A 16,819-nucleotide genomic window follows, 5' to 3' on the forward strand; every position below is an offset into this window, starting at 1 on the left:
TAAAATATGTTTCATGTTTGAGCCTAGGAGTTCAAGGTCAGCCTGGGCAACAAAGTGAGATCCCATCTCTCAAAAAAAAAAAAAAAAAAAATTTAGCCTGGCTGAGGGAGCACCTGTCCCAACTACATAGGAGGCTAGGACAGGAGGATCTCTTGAGCCTGGGATGTTGAGGCTGAAGTGAGCAGTGTTTGCGCCACTGCACTCCAGCCTGGGTGACCAAGCAAGACTCTGCCTCAAAAAAAAAAAAAAAAAAAAAGTGTGTGTATAGGGGTTCTAGCTTAAAAAATAAATCTTTGTAAAAACTGGGAAGGCTATGTTGAAATTCAGAATTCACGCCATGCCATGGCAGCATGGGAGCTGGCCCTGGACCAGGGAGCCCTCTTTTTTTCACCTCTGGCTTCATCCTATATCATGAGGGCCTTGTATGTGCACACAGACACCCTGACCCAAAATGTCTAAGTTCTGCTCGCATTCCCTACAGACAGCTGCCCCTTGGCCACCCAGGGACTCGTGGTGTCCATGCCAGTGGCCTGGTCTGCCCTCAGGAGACTGAGGAACAAGGCCTCTGTAGGACCCAGAAGTGGGCTCAGGTCCATCTAGACAAGAGTCCAGGGTGCCAGGTGCCAAGAGCCAGCTTCTAGGTTAGGCTGTCCCCAACACCTTGTGGTTCTTTATCCCATGGGGAGGGACGTGGCTCAAGTTAACTTTATATTTGTCATCTCGAAATCCTATTTTCTCTCTCCTTCAACTTATAGAAGAAAATATCAAAGGAGAGATATATTACGGTTTCTCCATTTCCAACCCTAAACTCTACCCTTTTCTGCTCATTATTCTTGAATTAGTTAAAATGAACATGAATAATTTTGTAGAAGTGTGATACTGGACTTGTGAATCCTAGTGACTATCTTCCTTCCAGATACTTACTTGCAGTCCTCTTACTAAAATCGCACAATGCTTAAGCTGGGTGGCGTATGAAATAAAACATATAGCAATCATTGTAAATTAGCTACTGGCAACTTTCTAAAAACACATGTGGCTGGGCACAGTGGCTCACACTTACAATCCCAGTGCTTTGGGAGGCAAAGGCAGGAGGATCACTTGATCTCAGGAGTTCAAGACCAGCTTGGGCAACATAGCAAGACCTCATCTCTACCAAAAAAATTAAAAAATAGCTGGGCATTGTGGTGCAGGCCTGCAGTCCCAGCTACTCAGGAGGCTGAGGTGGGAGGATTGCCTGAGCCCAGGAGGTGAGTCAGCTATGATCCCACCACTGCACTCCAATCTGGGCAACAGAGCAAGACCCTATCTAAAAATACATACATAAAATAAATAAAAATTCAAACCCATGTGCCAAAAGATATATACAAGGATGTTTATAGTATCACCATTTGTAATTACTAACACTGCAATGTTGGATGAGAGAAGATAGATCCCAAAGAAGACATTCTGGATGATTTCATTTAAATACAGTTCAAGAACAGGCAAAACGAACTGACAGTCCTGGAGGTCAGCACAATGTTTGCTCTTGGGGTAAGAGTGACAGGAAGAAGGCAAAAAAAACTTTTTTTTTTTTTGAGACGGAGTCTCGCTTATGTCGCCCAGGCTGGAGTGCAATGGCGGCGATCTCAGCTCACTGCCATCTCCACCTCTCAGGTTCAAGCAATTCTCCTGCTTCAGCCTTCCGAGTAGCTGGGATTATAAGGCACTCACCACCACGCCGGCTAATTTTTGTATTTTTAGTAGAGACAGGGTTTCACCATGTTGGCCAGGCTGGTCTCGAACTCCTGACCTCAGGCAATCCACCTGCCTCAGCCTCCCAGAGTGCTGGGATTACAGGCATGAGCCACTGTGCCCGGTCAGGACTCTCAAGTTCTAAGGATGACCCATTTCTCGATTTAAGTGCTGGTGACACGAACGTGTTCATGCTGCGATACTTCATGGATTGGTGCCTCGTTATTCATGCACTTGTCTGTATGTTATATGTTTCAATAACATTAACCATAAAAAACGCACATGTTGAAATGAAGTTTATTTATTTATTTATTTATTTTTTGAGACAGAGTCTCGTTCTGTCGCCTGGGCTGGAGTGCAGTGGTGCAATTTCGGCTCACTGCAAGCTCCGCCTCCCGGGCTCAGGCCATTCTCCTGCCTCAGCCTCCCGAGTAGCTGGGACTACAGGCGCCCGCCACCACGCCCGGCTAATTTTTTGTATTTTTAGTAGAGACGGGGTTTCACCGTGTTAGCCAGGATGGTCTCGATCTCCTGACCTTGTGATCCGCCCGCCTCGGCCTCCCAAAGTGCTGGGATTACAGGCGTGAGCCACCGTGCCCGGCCGAAGATTTTAAATAGAAACACACAGTTATTTCACTGTGACCTGAGATGTGGGAGTATGGGGGGACCTGGGTTCATAGCAGCAAGTCAGAAGGGGAAACAGAACGTGGGGGGCCTGGTGGCTGGCCACAAGGGCTCTCGGAAGGAGATGTGTACTCACTCGCTGCCCACGGGGCATGTCACCAGGGCCACGCCACAGGCGGCCCTCTAGTGGAGAGGTTCCCAGGCCACATTCTGCAGGGACCCAGGTTGTAGGAGAGGCTAATAGACAGGACCCCTGTTCATATCACCTGAAGTCCGTCAGAACAAATTGTTTATGTATTAGGTCTGTAGGATTTCATGAAGGAGAGGTGGAGAAGGGGCAAATAATGCCATTATAGGACCATCTCTTGAACGGAGGTGGTAATGTTTCCGACACGAAAAGGACCCTAAGCAGCCGCCTGAGGAAACAACCAACAGCCGTGCATCCCAAGGGCCAAGGGAACAGGCCTCCACGCCGTCTTCAGGAGCTCCTGTTACCAGTCAGTTTCAGAGCTATCATCCATGAAGGCAGACTAGGAAAACCCTCTCTCCCTCCTTCCCTCTATTTAAGTCATCTGGTGGCGCAAAGGAGAAATCTACCACTTTGAGATCAGCAACTATTTAAAGAGCTTGTGTGGTACAAAGAGCAAGACAAGCTATTATTTTACAGTCCTGGAACTCAGGAGAGCCTGCAGTAACCTGGCTCTTGGCTTATGGACAGATTTAGTTCCTAGAAAAAAAAAATTACAATCACTTGAGGCCATGAGTTTGAGAGCAGCCTGGGCAGCATAGTGAGAGCTCATCTCAAAAAAAAAAAAAAAAAAAAAAAAATGCTGAGCCAGGCAGGGGGGCATGCCTGTTACTTGGGAGGCTGAGGCAAGAGGATGGCTTGAGCCCGGGAGTCGGAGGCTGCAGTGAGCTATGATTGTGCTGGTGAATAGCCACTGCACTCTGGCCTCAGAGACAGAGAGAGACCTTGTCTCTAGAAAACAAAACAAAACAAAAAAAACTTGCATCTACTTCTCCAAACAGGTATTTGCCACCCTCTTTGAAATACTTGGTCACCTGTCTGGACAAGCACCCACCTCAACAACCCTCAACCACCTTGCTCTCCCACCAGTTAACCAAACAATAACCAAGTCTTCCTTGCTTTGTCTTCCTCTTTATGAATACCTCATATAGATTACGTTTCAGCTAAGCTTTGGAACGAGTTCGGACTGGCATAAGGAGACAGTGGGAGGAGAGGCAGGTGACAGAGAAACAGAGCGTCACATAGGGACAAACTTCCTGAACTCAAGTCTCGTCATGTCTAGGTCCCTGACTCTGCTGCCTGTCCAGGTCAATATCCAACAAAGATCTCAGAAAAATAGAATTTAATCTGAACATATCTACAACCATTTAAAACATACACGGTCTCAGCACATTCCGCTTAATCTTTTGCACTAATAGAGGAAAGCAGAGAACGACCATCTCAAACCGTCTGTGTGTCAGAGCTAGACGCTGATGTCCTCTGGAAGGTTAATCTTACTAAATCCTATTTGGTTCAGGCTGATATTAAACTCTGCTTCACCCCCCTAGTACATCTAAGGCTCAGGGGCAGTTTAGACAAAAAGAGAAAGTGGGCTGAACCTGGTATTTGGCAACAGGGGAAAAATCACAAACAAACAAAAACTGACCTAATTGAATTTGTTTACTCTTCTAATTCCCTGACACAATCTGTAACATAATACAGTAAAGTCTCACAACTTTAGAATATTAATGAAAAAAGCTTTTAATATTTGTTTTAAAAGTAAAATCATAATAAAATATTATTTATAACTAATAAAACAACCACATTCAGACCCTTATAAATCATTAACTACCACGAGACTCAGCACACATACACCCTGAACAAAGTCTGTCAGACATAAGGTTTATTTTATTTTATTTTATTTTTTGAGACGGTTTTTCGCCCTTTCGCCCAGGCTAGAGTGAAGTGTGATCTCGGCTCACCGCAATCTCCCCCACCACCCTGGGCTCAAGTGATTCTCCTGCCTCAGCCTCCCAAGTAGTTGGGATTACAGGTACCCATCACCATGCCTGGCTAATTTTGGTGTTTTTAGTAGAGATGGGGTTTCGCCACGTTAGCCAGGCTGGTCTCAAACTCCCGACCTCAGGTGATCCACCCGCCTCGGCCTCCCAAAGTGCTAGGATTACAGGCGTGGGCTACTGCGACCAGCCGAGACATAAGGCTTAAACGTGTTTGCCCTTAATAGAGCATCTCGTTGGAAATAAGACGGCCCAGTGGAAAAGTCTAGCTCCACAGAACGAAACATACTCAGGGCGGGTCAGTTCCTCAACACCATTCTTCTGGCCCTGGCAGCCCAGGACGATTCTCTCTAAACCCAAGATTCATCTTTCCAGAAACCCACATTCTTATGCAAAGTAGGGTGAACTGAAACAAACAGCCCTTACCTGGGATTTCCGATGACTGGCTCTAAGAATAAACGGCTTAATCAGAAGCATCCACGGCACAGAAATCAAAGCCATAACCACAAAGAAACTTTGGACTTCTTGCTGCAAGACCAAAATGGCGAGATCTCATCATTTTCACATGGCAGAACAGCACACTTTACGTGATGAAAATGACCACTATGGGCCACTTCACTAGCACTTTATTTTGAGAGATCTAAAGCATTTCAATGAATCCATTCACCTTCACGCCTGGAATATTCCCCTTGCAGATAGAGAAATATCTGTCCAGTGTTTCCAAATGTTCGACACGGGGTAGACACTGGAAACTCTCTGTATTCCTTATTCTGAGTAGTCCCTTGTACCATACGTAACCAATCTTTTAAACAAGAAGTACGCATGAAACATTATAAAGGCACCCCTTGTCTTGAACTCTGTCCCATGGGGGTCGTTTTCACCTGGGCCTGCATGAAAACTATGGCAGGCCTCATGACTTTACCAGTCACTCGGTGGTACTCAAAAGTCCTTGGGTCACTTTAAGTCACAAACAGTATTCAACCGGTAATTTTATATTTTGAGTCCTAGAAAATTATCTGAGCTCTCTTGCTCCTATCTCTTAAAAAAGAAAAAAGAAGTTCCTCACCATCGCTACCTGACTTTCATCCCTTCCATGTGGGCAATTTACTCAACAGGCTCTGGGTTACCCACTTTGAACTCACTCTCGGTCTCTCTCGCCTTCCCTTTGGAGTGAGGCAGCTGCGGTCTTCAGGCCTCTGCTGAAACCCTGGAGGAGTCCCTGTTATATTCCTGCTCCAGATCACCTTTCACATCCTCACGCCCCTGCCTCCTTTCTTATACACACCCCAGTGACCAGTTTAGAGGAGTGACTCATAGCTGCTATGGTCAAAAGAACCAGCCAGCCTCGGAAGGCTCGGTCAGGGCTGCTGAGAAGGATTGAGAGCACGGTGCTGGAAGGAAATAGAAAAACATTTCTTGAGCCTTCACGTTTCTCCAAGCATTCTGACCAAGGTCGCAGTAAATGCCAGGAGACAATTTATTATCCCAATTGTAACAAGATTCCCCCTGATAATAGAGTGAACACTTTATCGGTTCCATCTTCCATCCTCACTCAACTTTTTTTTTTGAGATGGAGTCTCGCTCTGTTGCCTAGGCTGGAGTGCAGTGGCGCCATCTTGGCTCACTGCAACCTCTGCCTCCTGGGTTCAAGCGAGTTGCTTGCCTCAGCCTCCCAAGTAGCTGGGACAACCGGCATGTGCCACCACACCCGGCTAATTTTTTTGTATTTTTAGTCGGGACGGGGTTTCACCGTGTTAGCCAGGATGGTCTCGATCTCCTGACCTCGTGATCCGCCCGCCTCGGCCTCCCAAAGTGCTGGGGTTACAGGCATGAGCCGCCGCGCCTGGCCTCACTCTACTTTTAAATGTCCAAAAGAGGAAGGGAGACCATGTGAACCCAAGCTGAACTTATCCATCCTAGTACCCGCACACAATGCTGTCTCATGGCCCTTTGTCCATTTTTATGCAACAGGATTTTCCCCCGATGACGTACAAAGCAACGGGATGAGTGTGTGTGTGTGTGTGTGTGTGTGTGTGTGTGTGTGTGTGTGTGGCTATCCTTTGATATTCAAAGACAGCCAGGACAATGTTGGGAAGGGACTTTATTAACTTGTATTGCCTCTTCCAGCTGCATAACCCCGAAATGAGGTTATGAAAACTTCAAACTGTATCAAGACAATTAATCTTCACACTAGGGTGTGTGAAAACCAACCAACTCCAAATAATGCTTTTGAATGGAAAAAAAGTTGGATAAGCCACGCATTCACTGTGCAATGCTCAGTGCTTATTCCAGACTAAGTGAGGACTTCAGTCTTAATGAAAGCAGTTAGCACACGAACTATTTTGGTGAATCTGAGTTCTCTGCCTTAAAACAGAAGAGTTATTTGGGAAATCCAAATAAATGTTTGTTTAGATCCAGCACTGAGTAAATGAACCTTCAAAATACGTTCAGTTCATGTCAACATTCTGGGGATGGCTCATGGTTACCATCTGTGATAACAAAATGGTGCCCAACAGTAATGCACCTGTTTCTGATTCTTATCTACACTCACTCCTTATGAAAACCTGATTACAAGGCATTTTTTCTTCTTCTTCTTCTTTTTTTATTTTTTTTTTTGAGACAGAGTTTTGCTCTTGTTGTCCAGGCTGGAGTGCAGTGGCGCAATCTTGGCTCACTGCAACCTCTGCCTCTCAGGTTCAAGCAATTCTCCTGCCTCAGTCTCCTGAGTAGCTGGGATTATAGGCACCTGCCACCATGCCCAGCTAATTTTTTGTATTTTTAGTAGAGATGGTGTTTCACCATGTTGGGCAGGCTGGTCTCGAACTCCTGACTTCAGGTGATCTGCCTGCCTTGGCCTCCCAAAGTGATGGGATTACAGGCGTGAGCCACTACGCCCAGCCTTTTCTTTTTCTTATTGATGCTTGGGTAGGGAAAGAGAACACAACTAGGAACTGAACTCATGAGAAGGGGCATGGCCGTAGAAGCATGACATTAACTACGACATCTGATGGGTGCAATCCCCAACAGACAACCTCTGCACTGAAGGGCAGCTGGCCTTGTGGAACTAGTCACAGGGCTTCATCCAGAGGAATCAGGACCTATAGAAATGGGTCTTTTTTAGTGAAAATCTACCCTCAGATAATATGATCAGGTTAATCACTGGGAGAGGCCAGGGGGAAAAAGCTACTGTTATTTGTGTCATCAAAGAATTACTCACTGAGTTATTTTTATATCCAGCCCCAATAGGATTTGTATACCTTTTAAAAATAAAATATTGGCCAGGTGTGGTGGTTCACACCTGTAATCCCAGCACTTTGGGAGTCTGAGGTGGATGGATTACCTGTGGTTAGGAGTTCAAGACCAGCCTGACCAACATGGTGAAACCCCGTCTCTACTAAAAATGCAAAAATTAGCCAGGCCTGGTGGCAGGTGCTTGTAATCCCAGCTCCTTGGGAGGCTGAGGCAGGAGAATCACTTGAACCCAGGAGGCGGAGGTCGCAATGAGCCAAGATCGTGCCACTGCACTCCAGCCTGGGTGACAGAGTGGGACTCCATCTCCAAAAATAAAAATAAATAAATAAATAAATAAATAAATAAATAAATAAATAAAATATTAAGTTGATAATGAGGCTAAAAGAAATGGAAGAAATCAGAGTGGCAATAAAGTGCAACTGTTGGGATGAACTGTCTCTGGAAGAGGAGCAAAAAATGAAAACAGCAGCTCCCGCCAGCTTTGGAAGCTCACAGAAGAGCATGAGTTTGATTCGTGCTTTTCCAGAAACTGTCTGCCCATGTGAATACAGGGCTTTGTCTTCTGATTCTATTTCAATTATTATTCTTGTTAATTTAGCTAGAGTTCACTCTTTGAATAAAAGATTATTAAGTATTAAGGTGCCATATAGAACATTCTACAGCTGCAAGCCTAACAATTTGAAGGGTTATTTTTTTTTCTTTCTTCATAGCCAATGTACAAGACAATCTTCAATCCCTCTGCAATTATCCCTTTCATGTATTACCCCAACAAGAATGGTTGGAGCCACACTATAGCCCTCAGTGCTTGCACCTTCATTTAATAAGACACTTTTGAGATGTAAAGGATGTAACACCCTCCACTGGATGCCAAGATGGCTCAGTTTTACAAATAACTACTCTTTGCAACACTCAAGAGTAGGAGAGAGGCCAGGTGCGGTGGCTCACACCTGTAATCCCAGCATTTTGCGAGGCCAAAGCAGGTAGATTGCTTGAGGTCATGAGTTCGAGAGCAGCCTGGCCAACATGGTGAAATCCTGTCTCTACTAAAAATACAAAAATTAGCCAGGCGTGGTGGCGTGCACCTGTAGTCCCAGCCACTCAGGAGGCTGAGTCAGGAAAATCGTTTTAACCCAGGAGGTGGAGGTTGCAGTGAGTCAAGATCACGCCACTGCACTCCAGCCTGGGTGACAGAGCAAGACTCTTTCTCAAAAAAAAAAAAAGAGTAGGAGAGAAATTTGACATAATCAAGTAAATAAAAGAAGAGTAAAAAAAAAAAAATAGCAGAAATACCTGATGTTTGTAGAGGGGTGCGTTGGAAGAGTCACTGTAGTTAAACAGAAACATGTTGATGAAGTGGATGAGGATGCTGGGGGCGTGCTGAGATACATGGACGTCAAAGCAGCACCATTTGAAAATGATCATGAAAACCAGGTATCCAAACAGACACAGGATAAAAATCATCTCAGGGATAAATTGCAGAATGATGTTGAGAGTTCTTCTGAAGTATCTGGGGGTGGAAGACACACACATACACAAGATAGAACATCAAGGGAACGTTAGGACTTAATTATTCTCTCAAAGCACAAAAGCACAAAATGTTCTATCTTTTTTTTTTTTGCACTACTGGCAAACAACGGCACCCCCCACCCCCCCAGCAAACAGCAATCCTGTATGGATGCATAGAAAAGAAAATTGAAAGGAAATACTGGAAAGTGCTTTTGCACAAAAGAGTCAGAGAGAACCACGGTCTAGAAGTAACGTCTAAAGCAAAGGTCATGCCCACACAGAGAGGGTGGTGATCTGACTACAGCTTCGCATGCAGACCTAGCTCAGAGTTGCACATTTAAAGGCAAGAGGATATATAATGGGGACCTGGAAGCTTTTTCCTAAGAATGCTCTAAGATAGGGGTCTGCAAAGTGTGGCCCACAGGCCAATGGAGACTATCATCTGATTCTGTACAGCCTGGAAGTTAAGAATGGTTTCTCTTTTTTTTTTTTTTTTTTTTTTTTGAGATGGAGTCTTACTCTGTCACCCAGGCTGGAGTGCAGCGATACAATCTTGGCTCACTGCCACCTCTGCCTCCAGGTCCAAGGGATTCCCCTGCCCCAGCCTCCTAAGTAGCTGGGATTACAGGTGCCCGACACCATGCCTGGCTAATTTTTGTATTTTTAGTAGAGATGGGCTTTCACCATGTTGGCCAGGCTGGTCTTGAACTCCTGACCTCAGGTGATCCACCTGTCGGCCTTCCAAAGCGCTGGGATTACAGGTGTGAGACACCGCACCTGGCCTCCAGTCTTTTTTTGAACCCTCAAATATTTCTGGGGCCAGAGGAGCACTTACCTTGGAGAGACTCTGCTCAGGAGAAACGGAGGTGCTGCCATTTCCAGCCAACCAGCTTGTCTTGGCTCAAGCCCAGATGCCCAGGGAAGTACCCCTCATAGGAAGAAAACTTGCACAGAGAGATGCAGTTCCCAAACCAGTGGCTCTGTCACCATTCATCATCAGTGTGATCAGACAGAGCAGGCAGAGAGTGCATCAAGAAACTTACATGTGATTGAAAAGGCTGAGGATGACACCGAAAACCATCTGGACAATTCCCAGGATCACCGACATCTTCATTTTATACGAGTTCAGAAATGTGAGTTTGTTTGAAGCCAAGTTCCAAATCTGGATGGGAAATGGGACAAAAAACCAAGTGAGAGAGAGTCTTAGAAGTTCTACTGGAGTTGAGGGCTACAGCACAACTTTCCCTAAGCAAACCGCTCTGGGAACTGCACTTTCATATTTCAGTCCAGCTCAATGCATACATTTTAGAGTCCAAAAAGGAAAAAAGGATGAAACCCTTTATAAATGCAACTTTAATGACAAAAGTAACAGGATCATTAGTGCTATTATCAAATTGCTGGAAGGAAACAGGGGAGAAAAATCCTACGTGAAAAGATAATCTGGGAGGCCGAGGCAGGTGTATCACTTGAGCTCAGGAGTTCGAGACCAGTCTGGTCAACCTGGCGAAACCCTGTCTCTACACCAAAATACAAAAATTAGCTGGGCATGGTGGCGGGTGCCTGTAATCCCAACTACTCAGGAGGCTGAGGCAGGAGAACCGCTTGAACCTGGAAGGTGGAGGTTGCAGTGAGCTGAGATCGCACCATTGTACTCCAGCCTGGGCGAAAGAGCAAGACTCTGTCTCAAAAAAAAAAAAAAAAAAAAAAGAGGAAAGCTAATCTGAGCCATTACGGCAAGATCTCAAACTTGCCTCAGTTTCCTTAATCATGGCCTATAGCTCATTGGCCCATGAATGTATCCAATCCTTTTTAATAACACCACCTCTTACTCTGAAAGTCTGTAGTGCTTCGCATTACAAAGCATTTCCCCAGACCTTTCTCAAGAAGCCGTTCCTGTAGCCAATCTTTGCAAGCACGATGCGTAAGACACAGTCCCTGCCTTCTACATGGCCCATTTTAAACAGCACTGCCAGGTGGGGATCATGTGTACCTGTCCTGCCCCAAATGATATCGATGATACTGACATGAGGAAAAGCACACTGGGTGGTCGTGCAGGGGGCTGGTGGGTGGAGGGGTTAGTTAGGGTCTCACACTAGCTAAGGACCAGAGTCACTAATATTCATCTTCCCCATTTAAATCTCGGCAGCCCCATGGTCTCCACTCCCACTCTGTGGAAAGGATTCCAAGTCCTTGCTCCTTCCCCTGTCCCCACCTGTACTTGAGGTACATCCCAAATTGTTTTCAGGTTTGCTCTGGGACATGTCAAAGGCGACAAGGGCACAATGGCTTTCTCACCTTTTCTGCTAAATGACTTCCTCCTCCAAACTTCTTTGCTTCTGTTAAGGGGCCAACATCCAACCAGACACAACCTCAGACACAATCATCTCGCTCCCTCCATCACACACACACACGTGCTCACACAGTCAGGTGCTAATTTGCACTGATCCTTCCTTTGCAATGTCCTGAGCCAGGCCAGAGGGGCACCCACTGAGGAGCCGGCTGCTGGGAAGCGGGGAGAAGGGACTTCAATAACAGGTGCCCAGACCCCAGAGATGCCTCCTCTACCCTCACATGGGCTTTGGCATCTAAGTGGCACCAAGCCTGCCCCAGCCCTCGGCATTCCCCTTGCTCACCTGTTTGGACAGTTCCCACAGGCACACTCAATGCAGTGAGGGCGGGTCTGCTAGTACACTTTAGACCCAGCCAAATCTGACACATTAAAAATGTTGGCCAGGTGCAGTGGCTCACGCTTGTAATCCTACCATTTTGGGAGGCTGGTAACAAAGTGAGACCCCGTCTCTACAAAAGCTTTTTTAAAAAATTAGCCCAGCATGGCATGGTGGCTTATGCCTGTAATCCCAGCTACTCAGGAGGCAGAGGCAGAAGAATCACTTGAACCCAGGAGGTGGAGGCTGTGGCGAGCCGAGATCGCACAATTGCACTCCAGCCTGGGCAACAAAAGTGAAACTCCATCTCAAAACAAACAAACAAACAAACAAAAATTAGCCCAGCATGGCATGGCACGTGCCTGTAGTCCCAGCTGCTTGGAAGGCTGAAGCAGGGAGATTGAGGCCCAGGAGGTCGAGGCTGCATTGAGCCATGATCATGCCACTACATTACAGCCTGGGCAAGAGAGCAAGACTCTGTCTCTAAATAAATAAATAAATAAAAAGAAAATTTTAAAATGTTAATAGTTAAGTACCAAGTACATACTAAGCAATTTAGATGTGTTTATCTCATTTAGTTCTACTGAAAACTCTATGAGATATAGTTATTCTCATTTTACAGATAAGGTAATTTATCATAACCTCAGGAAGATTAAGTTACTTACATACCTAGGAAGAAATAACATAAGAGGAACTAATATTCAAGGAGCATTTACCACGTTTGTGCATAAGACTCTGTTCTGGCAGTTTTACATGTAAACATAATTTCATTTGCCAAGCAATCCTAGGAGTTAGGGCTGCTGTTTTTTTTATTTTTATTTTTATTTTTTTGAGACAGAGTCTCGCTCTGTTGCTCAGGCTGGGGTGCAATGGTGCAATCTCGGCTCACTACAACCTCTGCCTCCCGGGTTCAAGCGATTCTCCTGCCTCAGCCTCCCAAGTAGCTGGGATTACAGGCACCCACCACTATGCCCAGCTAATTTTGTATTTTTAGTAGAGATGGGGTTTCACCATGTTGGCCAGGCTGGTGTCAAACTCCTGACCTCAAATGATCCGCATGCCTTGGCCTCCCAAAGTGCTGGGATTACAGGTGTGAGCCATCGCGCCCGGCCTAGGGCTGTTATTATATGCGTTTTATAGGTGAAGAAACAGACATAGAGATGTTAACGTGCTCAAACTCACAGAGCAAGTAAATAGAAAAGCAAAGATTTAAACACAGGCAATCTGATTCCTGCGTTAAGAGCCCAGGCTATGATGAAGGCCAAATATTTTGTGATTTGATTCACAAATAGATGCCAAACGCAGTCAGTAAATGCACTGTAGAAATTTGTGTTATGTAAAAAGTAAGCCCTTATTAATATATATATATGATACAAACTAACATAGGCACAGACATTGATATGGTTTGGTTGTGTCCCACCCAAATTTCATCTTGAATTGTATTCCCATAATTTCCACGTGCTGTGGGAGGAAGCTGGTGGGAGATCATTGAATCATGGGGGTGGTTTCCTCCATACTGTTCTCATGGGAGTGCATAAGTCTCATGAGATCTGATGGTTTTATAAGGGGAAACCCCTTTCACCTGGCTCTCATTCTCTCTCTTGCCTGCCGCCATGTAAGATGTGCCTTTCACTTTCCACCATCATTGTGTGGCCTCCCCACACAATCTTTTTCTTTATAAATTACCCAGTCTCAGGGATGTCTTTATCACCAGCATGAAAAGGGACTAATACAGACGTGTTCTGTTAAAGTGGTTATCTCTGAGGAACAGGACTGCAGGAACTGGAGAGGTAGGAAAGGCAACTCCCGCTTTTCTTTTTCTTTTTTTTTTTTTTTTTTTTTGAGAAGAGTCTCTCTGTATCACCCAAGCTGGAGTGCAGTGGTGTGATCTCAGCTTACTGCAACCTCTGCTTCCCAGATTCAAGTACTTCTCCTGCCTCAGCCTCCCGAGTAGCTGGGATCACAAGCATATGCTACCATGCCTGGCTAATTTTGGTATTTTTACTTTTTTTTTTTTTTTGAGATGGGCTCTCACTCTGGTTGCCTAGGCTGGAGTGCAGTGGCATGATCTCAGCTCACTGCAACCTCCACCTCCCAGGTTAAAGCAATTCTCCTGCCTCAGCCTCCCAAGTAGCTGGGACTACTGGTGTGTGCCACCATGCCCAGCTAATTTCTGTATTTTTAGTGGAGACAAGGTTTCACCATGTTGGCCAGGCTGGTCTCGAACTCCTGACCTCAAGTGATCCACCCGCCTCAACCTCCCAAAGTGCTGGGATTACAGGCATGAGCCACCACATCTGGCCAACTCCTGCTTTTCTTTATATAATATTTTGTGTGGTATAGATTTTTTTAAATCATATATATGTATTATTTTAGGATAGAAAGACCAGAAATTTTCAAAATTCTAAATGTTACTAGGAACAGATTTCATTATTTTCAATATCCCACATTCTCTTTCACCCTGACATATTTTCTTTCTTTTCTAACTTGTGGGCAGATGACAAAATTGCATCAGAGTAGAAACTCAGGATCACTCAGTTCTGCAATGTGAAATACCGTAGCTCCACTCTGTCTGAGGAGCAGAAATGGACAGGCAGGATTTGCTGATGAATTAACTGTGGGCTGTGGAGGGGAGAGACGAGACCATTGGAGCAATGAGATTCCAAACAAAGGAAGATCAACCAGACCCTAAGATCATCCCCGTCTAGATTCCTTCTCCACCTGCTTACTAAACATGAAATTCCTTTGACCAAGGACAACGTCTTGCAGGCCACAAAAATTCAAATTAGTTTTTAGCACTTTGCAACTTACACACCAGCCTTCAAGGACTTTACCACTTTTGATAAAACTTAGAATGCAAGTGTCCCTGGGTGGCAAGTATAAACAAATCCTGGGCAAAATTCATGTTTTTATAAGGGCAGGGAGGCGGGCGATAGCGGAATGACACAGGAAAACTTAAGAGGAGGTGACCTGTAAGATGGGAGAGACTGGAAACCAGTTTTAGGGCTAGTACTATTTACTCCTAATTGTCAGCAACGAAAACGGAGGTCTCAGGTTCTCTCCCATAAAGAAAGAGCTTAGAAGAAACATGGACAGCATTTGCCAGGTTCAATTTCAGACTACTCACGCTCATTTGGAGCACAAGGCCGCCACCTGGTGGCAGCATGCACTGGGCCAATAGAAATGAACAGCTTTACATGAACGGGCATGTGTTGTATCTCCTCAAAACCGCTTTATATCTACAGGCTGCGAGGAAGTATCGTTTTGCTTAGCTCAAATCTAGCTGACTGAGATAGATATAACAAACATAAAATGAAGCAAATACCTTTTTTAAAAAGCGTCAATTCTATGCAGTAAAACAAAGCAAACATAAAAGTAAATCCACACTTTTTTAGAAAAAAGGGAAATGTTTCCCACTGCAAGAAAATACAAAGCAGGGAACTTAAACTTGATTAGGACGCTAAATAGCTCATGTAATATGCATACTCCCCAGGCAACCAAGTGCCTTTTAAAGAAGCAGTTATTAACCACCAGGGATATGATTGATGGAGAAAGAGGCAGACGTTTGGGGGACTGTATGGAAAATGGGGCTGGGTAGAAGGTGTAGACAGAACTTTTACTTGACTCTGGCTCTATGTGTCACAAAAACGTCAGCAGAAGTTATTTTATCTCAACACAAGTTTGTTGATTTGACAGGCTTTGTTGGCCTTTTCTTCTCTCTCCAGAGGTCTCCTCAAGATAGTTCACATAAGAAATATTTAACCCAAGAAGACATTATTACCGGATCAATCCCAAACGGGTATGGATTTCCAAAATACACTCCTGGTATGGCTGGGTCCAGCTGCAGATATAGACTTTCCTCCATTACATGAGTACTTTAGAGGGAGAAAAGGAGAAAAACAAACAATGATCAACCGGGGCAGAAAAGATACTATAATACCACCAGTCACGAACTTGCCCATCAAAGTCCAACTACTGGTGCAATTCATCACTTTGGTTGGTTCAATATCTACTACACATCAAGTATTGTCCTAAACACTGAGGCTACAATCTGAGTTTGCAAAGAGATCTCAGCCTGATGTGCTATAGTAAAGAAACTCAGGGCCGGGAGCAGTGGCTTACATTCATAATCCCAGCACTTTGGGAGCCTGAGGTGGGAGGATCCCTTAAGTCCAGGAGTTTGAGACCAGCTGGTTGTGGTGGCACATGCCTTTAGTTCCAGCTACTTGGGAGGCTGAGGCAGGAGGACTGCCTTGAGCCTGGGAGGTCAAGGCTGCAGTGAGCCATGATTGTACCACTGCACTCCAGCCTGGGCAACAGAGTGAGACTCTGTTGAAAGGAAAAAAAAAAAAAAGGGAGAAGGGGGAGAGGGGACAGAAGGGGAAAGGGAAGGAAAAGGAAGGGAGATCAGGATTTGTACCACATCAGAAATGAGGTAGAAAGCAGGGATGCTGGGAGCACACAGGAAAGAAACCCCAGCCCAGGGACATGCTTGGGAAGTCTCCCCAGGGAACACTGGGGCTGCTTCTGAAGGATGGATTGTTTTTTCACATATACACCTCAACTGCTATGAAACTTAACTCTAAAAACATGTAGCCCATTGTATGTCTTTAAATCTGTGTCCCCTTTTCACCCAGAAGAATGGATGTCAATGGGAAGAAATTTCTTTTTTTTTTTTTTTTTTGGAGACTGCGTTTCATTCTTGTTGCCCAGGCTAGAGTGCAATGGCACGATCTTGGCTCACTGCAACCTCCGCCACCCCCACCCCCCAACCCCAGGTTCAAGCAATTCTCCTGCCTCAGGCTCCCGAGCAGCTGGGATTACAGGCATGTGGCACCATGCCCGACTAATTTTTGTATTTTTAGTAGAGATGGGGTTTCACCATGTTGGTCAGGCTGGTCTCGAACTCCTGACCTCAAGTGATCCGCCTGCCTCGGCCTCCCAAAGTGCTGGGATTTGGTGTGAGCCACGATGCCCGGCCCAGAAATTTCTTACTCTGTCTCTGCAAGCCTTAA

The 16,819-nt window shown here is 45.3% G+C and overlaps 1 protein-coding gene across 3 annotated transcripts in view; it reads right to left on the minus strand.

Moving 5' to 3' along the window:
• Positions 1-16,819, minus strand: part of ATP6V0A4 (ATPase H+ transporting V0 subunit a4) — a 91,903-nt gene that overhangs the window by 17,661 nt on the left and 57,423 nt on the right. For all 3 annotated transcript variants that reach the window (NM_130840.3, NM_020632.3, NM_130841.3), the window contains 4 exons: positions 15,586-15,679; positions 10,182-10,300; positions 8,923-9,139; positions 4,807-4,908 (listed from right to left, as the gene is read on the minus strand). In NM_130840.3, coding sequence (NP_570855.2) covers positions 4,807-4,908; positions 8,923-9,139; positions 10,182-10,300; positions 15,586-15,679 — 532 coding nt within the window. The remainder of the gene's footprint in view (positions 1-4,806; positions 4,909-8,922; positions 9,140-10,181; positions 10,301-15,585; positions 15,680-16,819) is intronic.

Source organism: Homo sapiens, chromosome 7 (genome assembly GCF_000001405.40).
Source record: "Homo sapiens chromosome 7, GRCh38.p14 Primary Assembly".
Lineage (NCBI taxonomy): Eukaryota > Metazoa > Chordata > Mammalia > Primates > Hominidae > Homo > Homo sapiens.